General features: G+C 41.0%; 1 protein-coding gene and 1 long non-coding RNA gene across 12 annotated transcripts in view; one reads left to right on the top strand and one right to left on the bottom strand.

The window, feature by feature from the left end:
- SEMA5A (semaphorin 5A) overlaps positions 1 to 22,471 on the top strand; it is a 511,043-nt gene that overhangs the window by 358,339 nt on the left and 130,233 nt on the right. The window lies entirely within an intron of this gene.
- Positions 1,333 to 9,420, bottom strand: LOC124901170 (uncharacterized). The gene is made up of 2 exons (XR_007059120.1): positions 4,281 to 9,420; positions 1,333 to 1,697 (listed from the first exon to the last, which is right to left on the bottom strand). It is a non-coding gene; the product is annotated as an uncharacterized LOC124901170 (long non-coding RNA).

Here is a 22,471-nt window from a genome sequence, read left to right as displayed (position 1 = left end):
ACAAACCTGATTTTTGGCTTTTCTTTTGATCTACTGCCTGTGTACAAATTCAATTGTGTTGTACATGTACATCAAGATACTGTTAATTTGAATCACAAGTTGGGATTATGGGTAAAGATGCCATATGTAGAACTCTTTGACAGTTTCCATCTCTCACTAGTTGGATTGTTAGTTAAACTCAAGAGGAGGAGAACTTTGTAGTGGGTGAAGGTACTTTCCAGCAGAAAACAGCCATAGATACCCGGGGCCCAACACAAACCCTGCTCCAAACCATATGCAGTGACCCAGGGCAGGTACAAAAGCAGTTCTACTGAAAAGTGAATTCCCAGAAAGCATTTCAGCTTGTTTAGACTGGCTTGACAATTTTAACTGAACAACCTCTATAATTACATATTTCATGTCTCAACTAACTTGTGGATCTTTTCATTTACTCTTATAGCACTGTTTAATATATTTTGAAGGAGATATAGTCTTTTTTTCAGATTTTAATTAAGAATGATATTCAGTTTTAAGGGATATTTTTTTTTAACATACAGTCTTTATGTCCAAGGAATTGAATACTGGAAGGTATAATAATATACATTTTAATTTAACCCTCTAAGAGCCAAATAACCCCCAACAAGCAGAAATGTTAAAGACTAGAGATTTTGACATTTTGAATTCAAAAAGCTGATGTTTTTCCGGTCTCTTATTTATAACTAGCCCCAGTAGTTACATCAAGGCAAACCAGGGAAATTCATCTCATTTGATTTTAAAACTGATATAGAAGCGGGAGGGATAAAGAGAGATTGATTAATGGGTACAGATACAGACATAGATAGAAGTGAGACCTGGTGTTCAATAGATCAGTATGGCAACTGTAGTTAACATTAATTGATTGAATATTTGAAAAAAATCTAGAATAATTCAGATATTTCTAGAATAAAGAAAACATAATATTTTAGGTGATGGATTTCTCAATTACTGTGATTTGATTATATGAATGTATCTAATTATCACATCTACCTTGAAAATATATATATCTAATATGTTTCAATTAAAACAATTAAAAAGGTAAATCTAAAAAAGAATCTGATATTGAGCACACATGCTAGAGTCCTTTCAGTCTGGGTGCACTTGCTATACCATATCCAGGAGTTAAACGAGTTATCAACTGATAGAGCATGGGTAAGACATTCATAACTAATGAATGTGAAGCTAGAGTCCTTCCTACCTTACTTGCAGAATCAGTTTGATATCCTTCCAGGCTTGGGAATCCAGGTTTGGTGGTAGGTGTATTTTCTTTTACTTTGATTTTACATGAACACATGCAAATGGGAGGAAACCAGCCAATGGCTGTTTGAAAAGTCAGTTTATTTTATTTGTCCATATTGTCTACAGATCCATGTGAGCTAGACTTCTCTTGCTGGTGTAGTTCATCTGCGTCTTGCCTCTTTGGTGGCATTTCCCACTGCTGCCACTATGCTGAGTCAGCAGTCTTCCCCAGATACATTCTGGGTCCATTTTCATGCTACTGCCCTGTATCTCTCCTGGTGTCCATCCACCCAGGGCCAGGCATGTTATCTGAATCATGACTGTGCTAATATTTTGTAAGTTGGTTTTTGAAGATTTTCTCAGAGCCAGAGTCAAGTGGAAATGGTAGAATATTTATGACTGGAGTTCTGTTAGTGACGGAGTCTCATATGCTATTGAGTTCTCTACAAAGACAAAATTAAGGTCATGCTGAGCAATCAGGTATTCTGGGAGTTTCTCCCTTACTTGACTTGGAAACACTTCTCCACTGGCTCTTCCCCACCACTGTGACAGTCCCTCGCAGTCCCACATGCACTCCTGGTCCAGACATGTGGCTGCCGCTCTGGGCTTTTTCCACAGCATGGCCATGGTTGTTCTAATTCTATGCTCCCTCCCCCACAATGCCATTCAGTCTTGGGCTTTCTATTCTCCCTTCTAGGATGAGATATATCATTTTTATTTTCACTTTAACTCAATTCTAGTGTTTAGAAAAGCATTTGAACCTTAAATTGTATATAATCTTAAAATGTTCTAAGCTTAGATTGTGGCAATAATTGCACAACTCAGAATATACTAAAAATCAGTGGGTGAATTTTATGGCATGCAAATTATATCTCAATAAATATATTTTTTAAAAGGAATGTGATCTCTTTTTGTGTTATATTTTATAAATTGTTTTAGTTAGAGGATAATTCATAAACATTTATATAAAAACACCTATCAGGCACTAAAGAAATGTAAAGGAAGAAGACATACACACACACATTTTGAATCATTGTTTTTCATTTCAAACTTGCAAAATTTTACATAGAAAAATCAGGGGCAGCTAATAGATGAATATAAAGCAGGAAACATTCATATAGAGGTTTATATGCTTCTAGCTGCTGAACTCATGTGAGATTGTGCCATGTTTATCACCTCTGTTTCCTTCTCTTCCCCTAGCCCCAAGGTTAATTGTATTGTGGAATGAAATATTTATAGAAATCTCAAAAAATAGAGCTGGGCACAGTGGCTCACACCTGTAATCCCAGAACTTCGGGAGGACAAAACAGGAGAATCACTCGAGGCTAGAAGTTTGAGACCAGCATGGACAACATAGTGGAACTGCACATCTACAAACATTTTTAAAATTAGGCAGGTATGGTGGTGAGCACCTGCAGTCCCAGCTACTCTGGAGGCTGAGTTGGGAGGATTGCTTGAGCCTAGGAATTTGAGGCTGCAATGAGCTAGGATTGCACCATTGTACGCCAGCCTGGGAAGCAGAGTAAGATGCTGTCTCAAAAAGGAAAAAAAAATATGAAGGCTCAAGACCTTCAACAAAGAGGGAGCCTGGGCTGAGCTTCCTTCTCTGCATCCCTGTCCTGTCACTTCAGTCTACAGAAAAGCAAATGGAATAGAAGGCATCCCAGCAGGAGCAGGACATGTGCCACAAAGTTACTTTGCTTGGAAAAAAAAGGGAGAGAAATGTAAATAAAGTCAGTACCCAGAGTTGAAATGATGAAAGAAACAAAATGAGATGAAAAGGAAGTTCACAGAGATAAGCGAATAAATAGAAGATCAAAATGACGTGCTATTCTACTACAAGAGTAAAAATTAAATTAGAAACTTCATGGAAACAAAAACACAGCTAAAGCTTAGACACAGAGTAAATGTTTGCAGTGATTAAGGTGGAAAATGTAGAAATAAAAGATAAGGTTTTAAATATGAAGGACCCACAAAGACAATGGACCACACAGAGTGATTGGTGTCTTTGAACCAAAGAACCCTGTCTGTGGAGCTAAAAACTTGTGCCCAAAGACACTATTGGAGAAAATTACCCTGCAATAAAGGAAGAATTGAGTCTGCAAATTTCAAAGCATACTGTATTTGTGCAATATTAATTCAGAATAAAGGAACACTAGCCAGGTAAGTTTTTAAATTCCAAGAATACAGAAATAATTATTTAGGTATTGAGGAGGAAAAAAAAAACTAAAAATGAAAAAAAATCACATGGTCTCAGGATACTCTGCAGCTGTATAAATCTGTGAAACATGGTTATGCAATATTCTGAGAAAAAGAAAATGTGAATTGAGCATGTTATACTCATCCAAGAATAAAAAAAAACAGACACTCACAAAAATGAAAATCTCAAGGAATAGAAAACCAAAAATCTCTTTTACAAACATGAAATAAGACTAATTAGGGGCTAAATTCAGCCAAATGATGAGAGAAGGTTTGAGAAAGTAAAACCAAAATAGGGGAACACTCAATACCAGATTTCAAGTAGAACAATATATACACACATTAGAGGAAAATAAATGTGACTCAAGAATGTTATTCTAGGCTAATCTTTCCATCAAAAATAAAGGTACATGGAAAATTTAGGGATAATGTATCTGTGATTCCTACTTCAAAAACAGACAACCTTGGCTGCTAGCCAAAGAAGAAAATCAGAACAAAAACCTCAGGAAAGACGTTGTGGAAAGAGGGCAAGTGAGGTGTTGGGGACCCATTTTACTATCTGAGGAAGAAGCAATAAGGTGTCACGTGAGCCAAGGCTCTGGGGTGCAATGGAGCATAATGAGCTCAGACAACAGAGAAGGACCGCTCATTGGTCAGGTCGTAAGTTCAACCGCAGGTTCTCTCAGCCTTACTTGACCCTGAACCCTTGGCCATTTGCTCTGCCTCAGCTGCCCCCGTGGCTGACAGATTCCTGGGCAGGACCAGGAGGTTCCTCCAGTTGATGCTGAGCAGCTGGTGGTCAGGCGTCTGTGGCGCTGTTGCTGCACCTGGGCTTGGATGAGATCGCACGCTTCTGGGAGTGGGATATGGCTTCTCAAGCAGGTGCTGGAAGAGCTGGTAGCTGCAGCCCAGAAGTGCAGGAGGATGAACTCTCCATGAAGCAAGCCTCACCCAGAGGGATGTCGGGTATGGGCAGAACGCAACTGGTGAATTCCCCTTCCATTTTCACCTCCAGGCGGCTGTCCAAGGGCAGGCTTCTCATGTAGCCAAGCAGATGTCTCTTTCTGTTTCATCATAAAGGAAGAGCCCCATGGTAACAAATCATATAGCACCACTTCCTGCTCTTTCCTGCTCCCTATTCCTTTCCCTCACCACACAGCCCTGGGATTGCACCCCCAGTAATGCATTAGCACCAAATACTTGAATCCTTCCCTCTGTTTTCTAGGCAACCACAGTAAGAGATCCAACAATGCCTGGAGTTCATTCAACCCTGTAGAGTTTCTAGGCTCCAGATGCAGGCAGGGATAGCTAATATGTGCCTTCTAGCTATGTTTAAAAATTCAGATTTTAATCTAAGCATAATAATAATTACTGAAAGTTCTGTAAAGAAAAGAAGTTACATGATATGATGCATGTTTTCAAAGATTACTATCTATACATCCTGGAGAATTAATCAGAGGATAACAAAAAGGGTAGAAGGAGGGTAAAGTTTGGGGTACAATTTCTTTCTAAACCAACAGTACTGTATTGCTACAGGATCCGCCATTGTATAAAAATAAGCAGGCATTCTAGATGTCATTGCATTGTAACTGAGTAAGGAAGAGTAGGCTGGGGTCAAAGCTATTGAAGTCATCAAGGTGGTCTAGGAGGAGGTGAGCATGGCATGCTCAGCCAGAAGATAGGCAGATGTCACCCTCAATGAAGCAAACATTGGTTCTTAGGGGGACAAAAAATCTTATTTTTATTCAAATAGACATGGACTATACAAGCAAATATACAGTACAGAATATCTGTAGTAAAATTTCATGGGTGAGGGGACAATCAGGAAAAATGTGAGAAGTCTTCTTGTAGAAGTGATAATGGAACACCTATCAGTTTGAGAAATGCTGCTCTTGGTTAATTTCTTGAAGAGAAGCTGACAGATGCAGCAGGTGTTTTGGAGGAGTGAGAGAATGGGTGCAATTAAGAATGACTCCTGATGTTTTTGGTTTGGACAGTTGATACTTCTCGTGGCCTTTGCTGAAAAGAAGACACTGGAGTTTTTGTGCCAAAATTCACTGGAGAGGGTTCAGCAATGGACAAGACAGACAGACACCCTGTCCTCAGGAAGCGTATTTTTTTTTGGGGTGGGGGGCAGAAGCAATAAAACAAGCAGTTGCATTAAATGTTAAATAGGAAAAAACGAAACAGGAAGATGAGATGGGGGAGGCAGGGCTTTCAGTGGTAAGAAGAAACGTGCAATGTGCGGAGAGAAACAGGTCCATTAAAGTTGGAAGTTGTGCTGTCTTTCATGGAAAATTGGGGTGCAGAGAGATTGGGGTGAGTTGAGGAGGAGATAGAGGTCAGGAAATAGATACCCATCTAGACAACTTCTTAATAGATGAGGGACTCTGCGGCTGGGAGTGAGATGGGGCAGGGGGTTGGGGGAGACAGCAGATTGAATCGAGTACCATGCGGGGTTGGCAAGGGTACTTTACCTGTGGGTGTCAGCAGACAGTTTTGCACCTGTCATGGGGAAATGCATCTGTAAATGTTTCTAGTCCCCCCTCTCCATCTCCACATACTCACTGTCGCATCCCTTCCGGACCTCAGAGGAACGTGTTTCTATCAATCCCATCCCCAATCTTCCAAGATGCAGACCTAGAACCTGGGCTGAGAAGCCAAGGGGAAGGAGAGGACTTGGCTGAGGGGCTGAGTTAGGCCTCAAAATAAAGCACCAAAGGGAACCAAGAGAGGGTGTGAGCTGGGGAAGGAGGCGTGACTGTGTGTGTTTGGTGGGGTGCCAGGGGGGCTGCCAATTGAGGAAAAACCAGCCACTGGAGAAGTGAGAAAGGCAACAACAGAATAGTTTCTAAGGGCAGCACCTGAAGTCCATGCTGTTTAGTGCTTTTGAAGGGTATTAATACTAGGTAAAGATGGAATTCCACCTGTAAGGACTTTGGGGTTTTGGCACATGCAATTTTGACTGTTTTCAGTACAGGTTAGATCCTGTGAACCTATGAATGTGGCTTTTAAATATTTACTACTGCCAATGGGCATCATTTCACCAAGGAGGAAGAATGAGGGAGTAAGAAAGAGGGGTCCCCAAGTTGGGGAGGTTCTGAGGTGCACAAGGGTTGGGGGCAGAGGTCAGAATAACCTCAGGGAAAAAAGCGGAGATGCCCTGATGTACCTGGGGGCCTGAGACTCATGCCTGTCACCTTCACTTAGCTTTGCCCTGAGCACCAGGGAGGAAATGTAACCAGGGACCTCCCCTGTTCTCACTCTTCCCTTCCAAACTCATTTTAAGTACAGAGGAGTATCTTTTTATGGTTGCTTGCTACGAATCATTTTTTAAAGTCAGGAGATCAATATGACTTTCCAAATGAACTTGTAGAAAAGACAAACAATGTTCTATGTACTCTAGAAGTTTCTTCTGCAAGAGTGATAGTGGCCAACTAGCTCAACAAATGCTAAAATTCTGTTTCTAATTTTCTTTTCTCCCTGCAAATTTTTTTTTCTAGCACCTAATTTTCAAGGTTTTCAGGTTCCTATCTAAAAAAAGTAGGGCAAGGCTGAGTGAGGAACAGAACTTGACATTCCCTTTGTCCAACATACATAAGACTTTAGAGACCCCAAGGATACCCTTCTGGGTACCAGAAATTAAGTTAATACATTTACGGCTGCCATCACTCCTGAGAATTATCTCACTCAATGTTTCTAAGCAATTTGCAACTATCTAAGTGTCAGGAACAAGTATTAACTTGTGAAAAACTATCATGTTGGAATTTTTTTTTTTACATTCACTCCAAATTCTGTCCTTCTCACCAGAAATTATAAATCCAAACCAAGTCTGGACTTGCATTACGTGTGCTTCTTTATGTAAGGGGCTCCCATCAACTGAAGGGGGTACATTACATAATTTGAGTGCTTCTTTGATAACATTTAATGAATTTTTCATTTACTGAGGGAATAATTGCAGCAACCAATAGCAACTCAATTACCTGGTGGTGTGGGTTAAAGTGTGTTCCCAAAGAAGGTATGTTGAAATTCCTAACCCTTCAGTACCCTATTTGACCTTCTTTGGAAATAGGGCCTTTGAGCATGAGCATGTAATTAGTAAAGTCCAGATGAAGTCATACTGGAGTACAGTGGACCCTTAATCCAATATGACTGGTGTGCTTGTAAGATGAGAAAAGAGGCAAACCAGGAGAATGCCATGTGATAACACGGGCAGAGATTGGAGTGCACAAATGCAAGCCCAGGAACACCTGGAATGGACAGCTGCCCTCAGAAACTAGCACGAGACAAGAATTCCACCCAGATTCTTAAGAAAGTATGGCTCTCCTGATACCTTGATTTCAGACTTCCAGCATCCAGAACTGTGAGCAAATACATTTCCGCTGCTTTAAGCCCACCAGAACATGGTACTTTATTGCAGCACCCCTAGGTTACTAATATACCTGGGTAGACTTTGCCACACTGCATCTGCTCTTACAGTCAAATTTAAAGAGTAGCCTGGTCTTCTCCTACTCCCTGAACTCCATGAACACAATTAGTTCTTTAGTATGAGTTTGTTTTAGGCCCGATTAAAATGAAAAAATAGTGTTGAATATAATTTAGTATATGCCAAACCACTTAAAATGCTATAAAAACAACTAATTGTTTTGTTTGATTAAATGTGGGAGCATTAGTTCTTGTATTTTAATGTGTTTAGCTTTTAAACATGTTTTCTGAATATTTTTAGTAGCTGATGCCTGGTCTCCCAACCACAAAATAATATGAAGTTATAACCTATGAATTAGTAAATTTCCCAGTATGTTCTAAATAGGATGCAACCAACTTCATCTTCATGGAGCAGATAAATTTCCTGTTTTCTTCTTGGTCTCTTGCTTCCTCTCCACCTTGCTTTGCTTTGGACCCACCTGAGACAGGTGACTTTCCTCTCAGGTTTCACATGATTAGTATTGACTGGAAGTTGCCCTCAGTAGTAAAAATTGTGGTCTGTGGACAAAAAATACATAAGTAAATAAAATTGCTTATCTTTACCTTTTTTCATACAGATCCTGCCTGATACAAATTTTTGATATAACTCCTTCAGGTTTAATGGTAGTGGCTAGGAGATGAAGCCCAGTGGATTCCTGTTCCCAAACCTGCTGTCCTCTTGCTTATACAAAAACCCAGTTAGGGTAGTATTGTTTCTTTTTGAGATGATGGTATTATAACTACGAGGATTTTTCATAATCTTGATTCAGTGCCCCAGGTTTTCTTATTTTTTGCTAAGTCTAATCTCTACTTCTACAGAGGGACATTCAAACCATTTTCTACGTGAAAGCTTCATGAGACATGTCTAATGTAGAACACGAGTTACTGGAGTATATAATGTAGACACAGGCTTAGGAATTTTTAACAGATATTTATCCTGGAAAATTCAGTTATGAGAAGACCCACTTGACTGCTAATTTGATGACGAATCTGCAAGTGTTTTTACAAAGGACTTTTCTAGTTGATGATAAGAACATAGGTCTTTATAGGTACTAAGGGCTTTCAATTAAATGGCTCCTCCATCTTCATCCATATCATTTGTTGTGGTAAAACATATTTTACAATCATTACCAACACTTTTTAACTATTATCTATACAGAATACTGGCATGTCTTAAAAGAGAGCTTATCTGGCTGGGCGCGGTGGCTCATGCCTGTAATCCCAGCACTTAGGAGGCCGAGGCAGGCGGATCATGAGGTCAGGAGTTGAAGACCAGCCTGGCAAACAGGGTGAAACCTGTCTCTACTAAAAATAAAAAAAAGTAGCCGGGTGTGGGGGCATGTGCCTGTGATCCGAGATACTCAGGAAGCTGAGGCAGGAGAATCACTTGAACCCGGGAGATGGAGTTGCAGTGACCCAAGACTGCACCATTGCACTCCAGCCTGGGTTACAAAGCTAGGCTCCATCTCAACAAAAAAAAAAAAAAAAGGAGAGAAAAAAAAAAGAAAGAGAGCTTATACATTTTTTTTCCTCACTCAGGAGCTCACTTTTGTAAGACCCAAGTGTGCAAATTGAACATAACTGAAAGTGTTTCCTTTGTTCAACATATTCTGATGAGAATATTTTTAAACAAATATTTAAGAGCAGATTCTGCTGGTGATTTAACTTGGATAATGAGATTCTCGGTAGTTTTTTAAAAATTATTTTCTCCATAAGAAGCATTTACCAACTAAATTTTTTTTGAGGAATAAATCCAAGTTCTGTCACCATGAGACATCAATTTTGTTGGTTTTGAATGAGGCAGGCTGAAGGTTTCAATTTATCTGATGTACTGTCATGTAAATTCCAATTTATTATAAGTTCTGCCAAGGTGTTTATGGATATCAGAGATAGAACTGAAATTATACTGACAAATATGTAAAAATTAAGTCTTCGAAAGCTAATCCATTTCATCTGTTGGATGGTGATTCTTGACATGTGTCCCCGTGTGTCCATTTCCAGTATCCTCATGCTTAGTTTTAGAGTTCTAATAGGGTGCTAAGGCTGGGTTCAAAGTCAAAATCCACATAACCCTAGTAACCTGTGAGATGCAGGATGTCTTTTAGGGTCACCTGGCAGCAGCCCAGGCCTGCATCTCCTAGGAGTATCCTGGGATGCCCCAGTTTGGGAAGAGACAATGGAGATGAGCCTTGGTGGCTTCTCAGGACCTGCGTGGAACTCACCCATGGTTGTGAACAAAGATGAACAAGTCAATCTTCAACGAAGGCCAAGTCAAGGCACTGACTTCAGAAAATGCATATCAACAGAAAATACACATACATTTCCACCAGAATGAAGCCCTCCAAATGTTCAGATGAGGCTATGTCAGGAACACAACCTGCCCTCATAGAACCTCAGGCATATTGGGATAGAGTCAACATCACTGTTTCCCACAGTTGTGTCTTTATACCTGCAATTAGAAGAACATCTGAAATGACTCCATCATTTAAAGCACTCATCTTGTCCTCTACCTTCATTTTCTGTAACCTGCACCCTGAAGTCAATTCTTTAGGGTAACCAGGTTCCAAAGAGACTTCAGCAGCCTATAACTGCCCCAGTTTTCTGGTTTCTAAGTAACTATGCATCTGGCCAAATAGGAAGAATTTAAGTACTGTCACTCCAATGAATCAACTGTGATCACTGCTGCTCCTGCTCCTCTGAGTCTGTTTATGGGATTAATTCTGTTGTGTTGCTGGAGCAGTCCAGTTACAGTGGCACCCACATGCTGGGTAAGCATGGGCTTTATTATTGTCCCTATCTGATAATTCTATTTAAATTCTACCTAATTTCAATTAGATTATTCTGGCAGTGAGGAAATCCTTGGGTTATTTTAAGCAATGGGGTATATTTTAAGGATACATATTTCTGCTGCCCCATCAGTGGTCACCCATCTGTGCATTCTTTAACTCACATTCCTGAGAGGGAGAGTCTGACCTGAATACCAGATCACCATTATCCTGAATGTGCCACATGCTACAGGCTAGGCCACTTCTGAGGCTGCTGGTCAGCTGGCAGAGTGGCCATCCTTGGGTCAGGGGCCAACCTCTGACACCATCAGCTTTGGGAATAGGAACTGGGTCACCTCTGCCAGAACTGGGGCCCCTTTTTTCAACAAGAGCAGGACAGCTAACCTCAGAGGGGACCCTGGGCTTCACACACAGTTCAACAAGGTGTTAAATAGGGTATTCAGAGGATGTGTTATTCTTGCATTGTTGTACAACATATTATCATATTCTTAGCAATTTCAAGCATCATACACTTATTAGCTCACAATTTCCATGGTCCTGGACCCCAGGCACTGCTTAGCTGGGTCCTCCGTTCAGGGTTTCACTAGGCTGCAATCAGGATGCCAGCTAGGGCTGCAGTCTCATCTGAAGGCTTGACTAGTGAGGAGTCAGTTTCCAAGCTTATTCAGTTCATTAACAAAGTTTATTTCCTCATGGTGTTGACAGAGGGCCCTAGTTTTGTCCTGGCTGTTGGCAGAGTTTACTTTCACATCCTAAGACCACCTGCAGCTTTCCACCCATACCCTTCTTCAATGTGGCCACTTACTCTATGCAACCAGCAAGGAGAGCCTCTCTTCTCAGAGAGGCCCAGTCTTCCCTTTAGGGTTTTTCACTTTATTAAGTCAGGCTCATCCAAGATGATCCAGCTTTTGATTAACTTGAAATTAACTTATTTGTAATCTTTTATCTGCAGAATTCCTTCACTGTGGCAATGTCACATGATCTAATCACAGGAGTGACACACTGTCATATTCATAGGTCTGGCCAATACTCACCAGAGAGGACTACATAGAACATGAACACCAGGGGTTGGGAATGATAGGGACTGTTTTAGGAATCTGCCTATGGTAGGAGGTCTATTAGATGCCCTCTGTCTTACAGATGACACCTCTTATTCTCATCCCCCAAAAACCCTCTAAATATGTTTTAATTTTGAAAGTTTAAAATTAAATGTAAAATGGTTTTCCTTGGAGCAAACAGCTAGGACTCCAATTACGAGGCTGTTCCTATTTAAAGGGAGAAATTGTTCTGGTTTGAGCTGCACAAGTAATTACGTTGGTTATTTGCTCTACATCTAGTTATCCAGACCTGGCTGAAGTGCTTCCACCAAACGGAGTTATTTTCCATTTTTGCAAGTGCTCCATGAGCAAATGTGTATAATGAAAAAGAAAAATTCTGGAATGTAGAAGAGAAGGACAAAAGGAAGATGCCATATGTTGTATGGCATTCAAAGGGTAATTTCCCACTAACTGAAATCAAGTCAGTGAACAAACCAAACCCCTACCTGTCAGTGTTAAACGTGTAAGGGCCACCGCCATCTCTGCTTGCACCCCTCTAGCCATCTCTGCACTTTCTTTCTTTCCTTTCTTTGTACTGCCAATGGGATGGGTGTTCATTTCCTAACTGGAGGCATAAACATGTGCCTAACTGGAGGCAGAAATACAGGCAGTGAGGTGACTGCATCTCTGTCCCAGGGCATGCTGTGTCTCTGATACCCAGTTATTCAAGGACCACTGAGAGAATTTAAGGAATCCTGCAAGAAAAGAGTATCCACTGCTTGGGAGTAACTTGACCCTCCATGAACACACGGGATCTGGATGACCTTTGCAATTCCTTTGGGGATGCAGGGAGCAGAATTTTAGAACTCTACCACACCCCCACTTGCTGCTGAATATTAGAATAATATATAAAATTCCTGTCACCTGGCCCACCACAGTCATTCTCTAAGCTGTGAAATCAGAAAACAAAATACTTCTTAGAACCATAAAATGTGGAATAATTTGATTCTGCTGTGATGTGTTAACAAATGGAATCTTTGCTCAGGGAGACCTCTCTGACTCCAAGCTCAGATCACCACAGAGCTGTCGTCTCTTACGCCTTCAAAGGTCTGTAGAGTAAAGCTTCCTATTATGATGTAGTCTAACATGAAGGGCACGGTAGCAGAGACTTTCTGAAGGAGTGAGGTTGCTTGGGCTGTATTTACTGGTGCAAAGTGGAAGCACAGCTAATCATAGAAGTCAAATTCCTTGTAGGACTTTTTTTTCTGCCTTGGCTTTGAGTATCTGATGTTTTTATTTTGGATCTAAGCACATCCTGTCATCCTTGTTAACTTGTATAGATGGCCCCTGCCTGGCAATGATGACCAGGCATTACTAAGCACATTTAGGCCTTGACCTCTGTAATTAAATTCTAAAACAGACAGCAGTGCATTCTGAAGGACATGGAAGGAATGGGTGCATCCTCCAGTGCGTGATAAAATAGCAGTAACAATGGTGTTACAGACGAACTTTCCTCCAGGAGTTGTTACAAAGCAGAGTGACTGGAAGAAAAGGTACCTCACCACATCTTTTCAAAAAAGCCTTTGCAGAGAAGATGAGGATACCAAGATACCTTAAGGAACAGAAGGAAGATATTTCACATATCTGGGATTAAGAGAGGGTTGGGAGTAGGAAGTAAGGTGCAACTGTCAATATTGCAGTTCCCACCTGGAAGTCATTAGTGGAAAAAAACTCGCCTCAAATCTCCCAGCAAATTAACACTTAGAACATTTCCTTTCACCAGAATGTCTGCAGTAAGCTGTAATTTACAGCGGTGCAATTATTGACAATGGCCAAGTCTAACTGCATACTTGTCCCAGGCATGGGAAAAACAGTATTTGTCACTTGCAGAGATGTAACATCAGAATTACTTTTATTTTGGTTGTTTCAAAACACAGCCTAAAAATCTGCTCCATTATTTATTGGTTTATAATATTTTCATCTCTCTTTCCTTTTTGAAACCTAGAGAAGTCCAACACTACGTTTCTTAAGTATGGTATTTTCTGGGGTTTAAACAGAATTGTTACCAAAGGATGCTGTGGAGTTTCATAATGTTATGTTTTCATAATGTTAAGAAAGGAATGATGTTTTGAGCTATGTCCCTAGGGGCAATGCTGTTCCTACACGATCCTGTCTTACTCATCAGATCAACATTTCCTTGGAGAAGCTGAGGACATGCAATGTGTTAACGAGACCTTGTTTGAAGAATCAAAGGAGCCTGTCATTAACCAGCCCTCTTGCAATGATACCAATGCCTGTGTCCCTCCAGATTGAAAATAAGTTGAAACCTTATTCCCAATGTGAGGGTATCTGGAGGTGGAGCCTTTAGGAGGTGATTAGGTCATGAGGATGGATTCCTCATGAATGGGATTAGTGCCCAATAGAAGAGATCCCAAAGAGATCCCTCACCTCTTCCACTATGTGAGACACAGAAGGAAGGTGTCATCTGTGAGGAAGTGGCTGTGACCAGACATCAAATCTGCAGGCACCCTGATCTTGGACTTCCCAGGCTTTAGAACTATGAGATATAAATCTCTGTTGTTGATAACCCCCCCAGTCTATGGTATTTTGTCATAGCACCCTGAATGGACTAAAGATGCTCCTAAAGTTGAGAATATCTGAAATTATAATTATGTAGCCAGTTATTCTTCTAGACCAAAAAAAAAAAAAAAAAAAAACCGGGTGAAGAAAACAACTTTCCCTGTCTGGAATTTTCTGACTGTAGTAAGTGCAAAATAAATGCTGAATGAATGAGTTATTGGAAAGCAGCAAGCCATCTGTCCCTGTGTGCATTCCTCCTTTCTTCAGATCTTCAACAGTGCCATTTCATTATTTTGACTAATCCCAAAACAGAAACAATATGGAAACAGCAGTAAAGAGCTTTTGAATTTTTTTCCCATTTAAGAGCAATCAACACACGTTTAATAAGTTTCTGACCAAGAGAACACTTATCACCAGATTCTGGATTTTGAAGGCTGTGAAAGCTCAGCTATGTTTGAAAGTTTTAAACCATTTTGAGATTAAAGCATTGTTTAGAAGGGCATTTCTTGCTACCTATAACCACTGTGTTTCAACTGAGTATAGTGAATCTTGTTAAATACATAGTATGTTTCTTTGAGGAATTAAAATTGAGAGAAAGGAAAGGAAAATTTGCTCAAGAAACTGAAGATTTCTTTCTTATAACCAGAAAATATGTATTAAGAATTGTTCTCATGTGTAACTAAAATATTGAGCATTATTGTCTGAAATTAGTAAAAAATCCTTTAAAGTGATCTTCAGTTATGCCAGGTAGAATTTGATTTCTACACACCCAGAACAGTTTAGAGGTTTCTGTAGGCTTCAATTTTCATGTGTTTGTGACAATGATAAAAATTTAGTAATTAATTTTTTGAATGCCCAAGTACAGTTAAGGGATTTTAGTTAAAAAAGTTATGATTTTTAGTATTGAAGTGATCACCAAGATTAATTGTCAGAGTAGAAACTTCATTTAGGCCTTCAATGATGTGATCATTTGATTAATTTTAAAAATCTGACCTTGTCCTTAGCGGAAGAACACTGATTCATAGTGAAAAAAATAGTTTCAACCACAAATGCCTTGATTTGTCCTTGGTAAACTGTCTTTAAATGGCAATCGTCACAAGGAACTGCTGCTCTTTGAGTTAAACTATAATCTTCCTTCAATTAGAAATCATATTGATTACACGGTGTTGGCATTTTTAATATCTCTAGGCAGCATTCATTTCTCTGTGCACGGATTGGATAATAGCCAGTTGTCTGGGGCTTTATGGAGTTGCTGACCTGCAGTGACTCACCTGGCAGCTTGTCTGTGGGACCCTCTAACACTTAACCTGCACTTCTAGTTCCCTAGATTCTGGAGTTTTCCAGCCTTGGAGTCAGGGCATGCCAGGAGCTCGGGGGCCCAGGCTCAATGCTACCTCATCTTTGTCCTGGCTCAGCTCTGACCTTTCACCCAGTTTGAGTGACCTGGCCTTTGACATCTTCTCAAGTGATCAGTTCTTTGCTCTGGTGTCTGAGCTTTGTCCTGTGTCCTAGGACATATCCCCATCTCAGAATTAGAGCCGTTTCTGTGCCCTGTAAGTTGGTGCCCGCTCCCTCTCGTCCCATCTCCAGGCACTGACCTCTCATCCTCCAGGTCTTCTGACTCTTGCTGTCTGACTGGAACCCTTGCCGCAGCCTGTGTGTTTAGCTGGAGGACATATATCTAGTGTTGGAACCCGGCTCCCTCTCAGCCATCTACATCCCAGTTAGGGAAAGCAATGAATTGGTTAAGACTCATGATTTTCCTGCTGCCCAATAAGAACTGGCCTGAGATTCCTCATAGATCATAAATAAATCTGCACCCATGAAAAGATTTGGGGAGTCTCACTGGAAAGTCAATGGAAGCTGGAGAGCTGGGGGCCCTGGACTCTGCATCATTAGCGTGGAGCATGTTTAGTGACTGAATCTTTCAGCTTGTCGTCTCGACCATGAGTCCCAATTTAAAACAATTTTTCTCCAAACTGATGTTTAAGAAAACTTGTCACTCCTGCCCCTCAGATGCCAACTGGGCCTTTCCTGCCCTCCAGATGTTTGCTGTTTGCTTTCATATTTCAGACTCTCAATTTCCTGCCTAGGAAGTCCACAGCCCTCCCCATCATTTCTGTTACCAATCCTTGGGCTTATGCTCACCAGATCCTGTTGATATTCAGGGTGAATGAATTTCTCTCACTGTCAAACACCAACTCAACCCCTTCCCCAGAGCGTGTTTTAAAAGAAAAAAAAGGACAGAATTGTGTGAGTTGAATAGATTATGGGAGGACCTGTGTTCACAAGGAAGGATTGATGGAGGTGTAGGCATCTTTTTGCCATCATTCTAGTTTTTCACTCTCACCCCTTTTCTTTCACTTTTTCTGTTTCTTTCAGGAGGATAGCAGAGGAATTCCAACCCCTCTCCCATATGGAGCCCCTTCTTCTCTCAGCTCTTTTGACCCAACCAATATGTAGGTCTGGGGGCGAGGAAGGAGGAGAGTGTAGGCTTCATGTCAAACTCTGTACAGGGCACCACCCAAAGGATGGCTGGAAACTCCCCAGTAGGACTGTTGGTGAATGAAAGGGTCTCCTTTATCATATACTTGTCTTGGTCCTGGCTGCTATAAAAAACTACTGTCGACTGGGTGATTTAGAAACAACAGAAATGTATTTCTCATAGTGCTGGGGGATGAAAAGCCATGAAATCAGGATGCCAGCATGCTTGGGTTCTCATGAGGACCCTTTTCTGGCTTATAATTAGCTACCTTCTCCCTGTGCCCTCACAGGGGAAAGAGACAAGGCAGGGCTCTGAGACCTATTTTATAAGGGCATGAATCCCATTCATGAGGGCTCCACCCTCATGACCTAATCACTTCCCAAAGCCCCCCACCTCCAAATATGACCACGTTGGGACTTAGGATTTCAACCTCTAAATCTGGGGGTAGGGGGGCACAAATATTCAGCCTATTTCAATATGCATGTCCTGTCTCTCATTTTTTAATGTAGACTTAATATATTTGCATCTAAGAGTAGGTTCCTATAACATGTACATGTTGGGTAGTGGAGTATGGCACAAAGTACTAGTGACATGCATGGGTATCTACTTCAAAATAAGTTCACAAAAGTCAAGAATTGTATTGGGTATCAAAGTTTCACATGTATTTTTCATTCCACATTTCTTGCAAATGAGTCACCCATGTTCATGCACACAGCTGAGGTTCCTCCACCCTACCAGGCTGGACATGGAAGGTAGGACACTGAAGCATTTGAAAGCCCTCAGAATGCACAGACCCTGTTCATACTTAGGCTAGAAAAGGGGGGCATTGTCACTCCTGACTTGTTAATTCATATGCACCATTAACTGTGGCTCACACCTCCCAGATGGAATACTGACAGTGAAAATAATTCCCTGCAAGTAACACTTTCCCTCGGGTGAAGGAAATCAGTGGACATTGAGCCCAGTATCCAAACATCAGAAAACCTTTGGAAGTTGATATTTTTGTAGCAAGAGCAGCTAAGCCAGAATATGACCCAAATAAGTTCTTAATAAATATTCACCTAATGAGCAAATGAACTAATGAGTATTTGTGTCCTAGGGCAAATAGTTGGTAGTTCTGAGTGGGTAATTATCATGAGGGCAGTGTCATTTGAGTGGCCCATCACAGACCTGAGCAGCCTGGAGGCCCTTCCTTGTCATGAAGCAGCTGAAGGAATAGTCAGTCCTGACTAGAGGCCACACCAAAGTTGCTCTATGTGTTGAAGGGAGAGGAGAGTGGGAGAGCGTCTGACTATGCCAGGGTTTTATTTGTTCAAGAGCAGATGGAAAATGATAGAAGAATGTCAGGTGAGCAAGCCCATCTTGGCCAAATGTGTCCTTTGCATCACGTGAACATTACACAGTTCTGCTCCTAGAAGGAAAGTCCAGTTAGTAAGTACTAAACAAGGGTGTGACACGTTTACATGCCGTGGCTATCATCCAACTATCTGAACAAAGCCAAACTCATTATATATGTATTACTCCATGACTAATAAGCAAGCATGGAGAGAGGACACATTACTTACTGTGTGAGATTCAAGATATAGGAGAAACTTAAGAGGTGGTTATTATGGGTTTTTAAAAAATACAAAGTGTATATATTTGAGGTCTGCAACTTGATTCAATATGCGAACACATTGTGAAATCATCACCACAATCAAGTTAATTAACATACCCAGGAGGTCACACAGTTACCCTTTTCTTTGTTCTTTCTTTTCCTGCTTGCTTGCTTTTTTCTTGTGGTAAGGACACTTAAAATCTACTCTCTTGGCAAATTTCAACTGTAAAGTACAGCATTGTTAGCTATAGTCTCCGTGCTGTACATTAGACCCCCAGGATTTTTTCATCTTTTCTAACTCAAATACTTCATCCTTAACTTTAAGGAGGTTCCAGTTTTGGCAGAGGGGTCTGAGTCTTGTGATGTCATTAAGGAATGACTCAAATGTGTGTTAAATGTAACTCTTTGGGTAATGGTTAATGCACTATGATTTTAGAACAAGAATGAGATTAATATATGAATAAAGTACTTAGAAAGGGATCAAGCCACAGCAACATGGCCTGGAGGAGCATTTAAGCCTTTGTTCCAGGGGCATTTGAGTCAAATATTCCCTCCACCTCTTGTAAGCTGGGTGCTGTCAGAAAATGAGGAAGCCTCTGCGAGCCTCAGATTTTGCATCTGTCAAGCAAGAATCACACTATTTATCATGCATTAAATTGGAAGCAGTGTACATCCAGCCCCTGTCACTCACAGGTTGAAGGTAGTATCCCTGCCCATTGGTTTTTTCCTGTAGCAGTTTTAATATATGGAAAGAAGAGCTTCTGAGATGGAGGGAGGCCCTTGGCCGTGGCATCCTCCTCCCCCTCACCCACATGGTAACAATGATGAAGACACATAAAGTGCTTCCCTTGACCTTGGCACCATGCTAAGCCCTTTACATAAGGGCTCCTGGCAGTTAAAGAATAGTCAAGACTCAAAGCTCCTTCATCACTGACCTCACTGTTGGCATCTGGTGATATGGACTAAAAACAGCCCCTTATTGTTGGTCAAATCCTAGATCCTTTGAGTTAGAGTCACCTAGAATGTTTGTTAATGATTGACGATGGTCCTCAGGCCCACTGCAGACCTCCCAAATCACGGTCTCAGGGATGCACCTGGAAGGTCCATCTCAGGCTTCTCCCTGAGTAGCTTCTCTAGTCATAAAGCTTGGGAACCACTCTGCTGTACTTACGGCTCTCCTCCTGTCACACCTTCCTTTTCAGATCCCCACCCCACTCCATCTCACTTCAGCTTCTCACCTCTTGGGCAACTTTCAGTGGAGTGGGCAGTGAGAGGGGTGCATAGGAAGTTAGGAGTGACCTGTGTGCTCTGGACACCTATAGAATTTTTAACATGGTTATTCTGCTATTTCTTGGCAATAACCAGGAAAATTGAAAGACATATTTCCACCTTGAGCTTAAAGATTGACTTCTGAGGCATGATTCTAGAATTGTGAAATCCTCATATGTTCATTCACTAAGACTCAACTGACGGCCTACTGTATCCCGAGAGCATGACGGTGGTCATGAATAAGGATAAGGCTCAGCATATCACACCAAGGAAAGCTTATGTCCCATAAAAGATGGACATTTATTCTTTGGTTTGACTTAATGCACTATCTTAGTTGAAGGAAGAATACCTTCCATAAGCACACAGACTTTGGAAAAACTGAGCTGGCCTGGGAGGTGAGAAAAGGTTCCCACTCCACCCGGACCAGAGGCCTGAGAGCTGGCTCTTGGGGGATGGGGAGATGGCTGCCTGGTGGAGAGGGCACAGAATATGCAAAGCATGCAGATCTAGAAAGTCCTGGGGTGTTCTGGAAAGGGGGAGACATTGAAATGAGCTGCAATTGTGGGTGAAGAGATAGGAGATGAAGCTGAACAGTAGGATAGTCATATTGACTATTCCATCCTAGCCAGTGGATTCAGGATTTCAGGTGCATGGACAGATTTGATACAAAGGGGAGACATTGAGTTTCCAGTTTTGGGTATACTGAGTTCTAGTTGCATGCGGTACGCCTGAGAGTTGGTTGGAAATCCTTCTTTGAAGCCAGAGAGGAAGGTTTAGGTCAGTAATGGCAGCCTCAGGTTTTCTTTGAAATCATAGAAATGGATAAGACAGTGCCTAAAGAAAGCTCATAACGAGCTAACAAACAGCTTGGAACATCAGGCACTAGTCGTAATTGGTGTAATGTAGCCACTGAGAAAAATGACAAAATAATTTTCTTATTCCACTGAGTAAGAGAGCTCTCTTTTTTTCCTTTAGAATTAATGTTTCAAAAGTGCAAAAGTGCTTAGCATAGATTTTTCTCAACCATCTCAATTGACAACTAATGGGACCAGACACAGTATAAATTTCACCACTGGGGGCTAGAGGGTAATTTAGACTCTGGATGCCTGCCTGGTGACTGTCAGAGAAGGGCTGCCAACCTTACCAACTGGGTGGTTGTTTTGTAATTTAGATACAATAAATCTAAGGCAAGTAATTTCCTTTCAGAAACTTGAATTGCTTCCTTAACAGAATGATTGGAGTTATATTTAAGCTGTGGGTTAGATGAGAGTTTAGAAAGGATACCCAGAGGGCTCTATTAATTGCACTCTTGTTTTAAAAGTAATATGGTTTTTATTCACAGGAAATGCAGTGGTAAATTTCCTATAAGCGCTGGCTTATGATTTAGGGTACTGCAAGGAGCTTTTGAGGTTTTGTTCAGCAAGGCAGCCAAAGCAGCTGTAAAAGAGTTGTCATTTCTCCTCCTGGCATATGTACAGTGAGTAGTGGTGGAGCAGGGATCTTGCTGATTTTAGACAAAACTTGAATAGGACTTATCATTTACAAGCTAAACATTAATAAGAAAAGAATAGCAGCAAACTCTTATACAACGTGTCCTGTGTACCAGGTACCATCCAAACAAACATACAGTTAAACTCACTTAGTGGCCGCCGACCCTGTGAGCTGGGCACTGGGGAGAAGGCAACAGAGATATGAGGGATCTGCGCTCGGTCACACGGCCTGTGATTGTGGGAGCCTGGAGTTTAACCTGGGCTGTTGTGCCCCAGAGGCCACACAATGAACATGTCTCTGCTTGAGCACCTACTATGTGCCAGGCTTTGTTCTGGAAACCAACAGGGTCACAGTGAACAAGGCAGGCTGCATCCCCTAGTGCCGGGTCTCCAGAACTTACATGCAGAGGGTCAGGCTATGAGAATATGGTTTAAAATATTAATACTTTGTGATTTTAAAATTTTGCTTTTAATTTATGACCAGGAAAGTTTAAACCGACTGACTATCCTTTTCAGGGAAAAAATAAGCCATTAGTTGAATCTGGTAACTGAGTGAATTAAATTCTCCTTTTCAAGCATACACTAGCCAAGAAGACCTTTTTTTCTTCTCTGAATTCTCCTTTTCTATATAAATGTAATATTGAGCTCCCAGTGCCAAGACCAATTTAATTCATTTGCTCGTTTACAAGTTAAGAGAAAGAACTTTCCTTAACATATTAGCTGTCTGCTGCTTTGGGATAATGACCAGCTGAATTGATGAACTTTATATAATGATCTGTTGCCATGGTGACGAGCTGCCCAGTGAGTGGAAGCGGGTATTTCATCATTACCTCGCTGATAATGCTTGGTATGGTAACACATACAAATACAAAAGCTTTTCTTTTACTCTGCAGTGACTCTGGGTCGATGAGCCAAACACTAGAAATGCCTCTTGGACATAGCGGCAGAGAATCAAATAGAATCCAAATGCACAACTGGAAATAAACTAATTTAGCTTCCCAGGTTAGTGGCCTCCTTGTCCACATGAATCTCCAGCCTTGTCACAAGTGACCATTGTCAGGGGTGCCACTTGTCTTCCTCACACGTTTAATTTCTCTATTGGATTCAGCACACTGAAGGCTGAATAATTTTAAAAATACCTTAAACTATAACAAAAGTTACAGAATTAATAAAAAGAGAATGGAATCCAGATAATAGATTTCACCATCCAATGCTTTGCAATAATCTATTTTTATATCACATTTTCCTCAATTCGTTTCCTTTTCTTTGTGGGTAGGACTTTTTTCTTTTCATACAAAATAAGAATTTTT

This window comes from Homo sapiens, chromosome 5 (assembly GCF_000001405.40).
Source record: "Homo sapiens chromosome 5, GRCh38.p14 Primary Assembly".
In the NCBI taxonomy this organism is placed as follows: Eukaryota; Metazoa; Chordata; class Mammalia; order Primates; family Hominidae; genus Homo; species Homo sapiens.
This window is presented reverse-complemented; position numbering and strand designations above follow the sequence as displayed.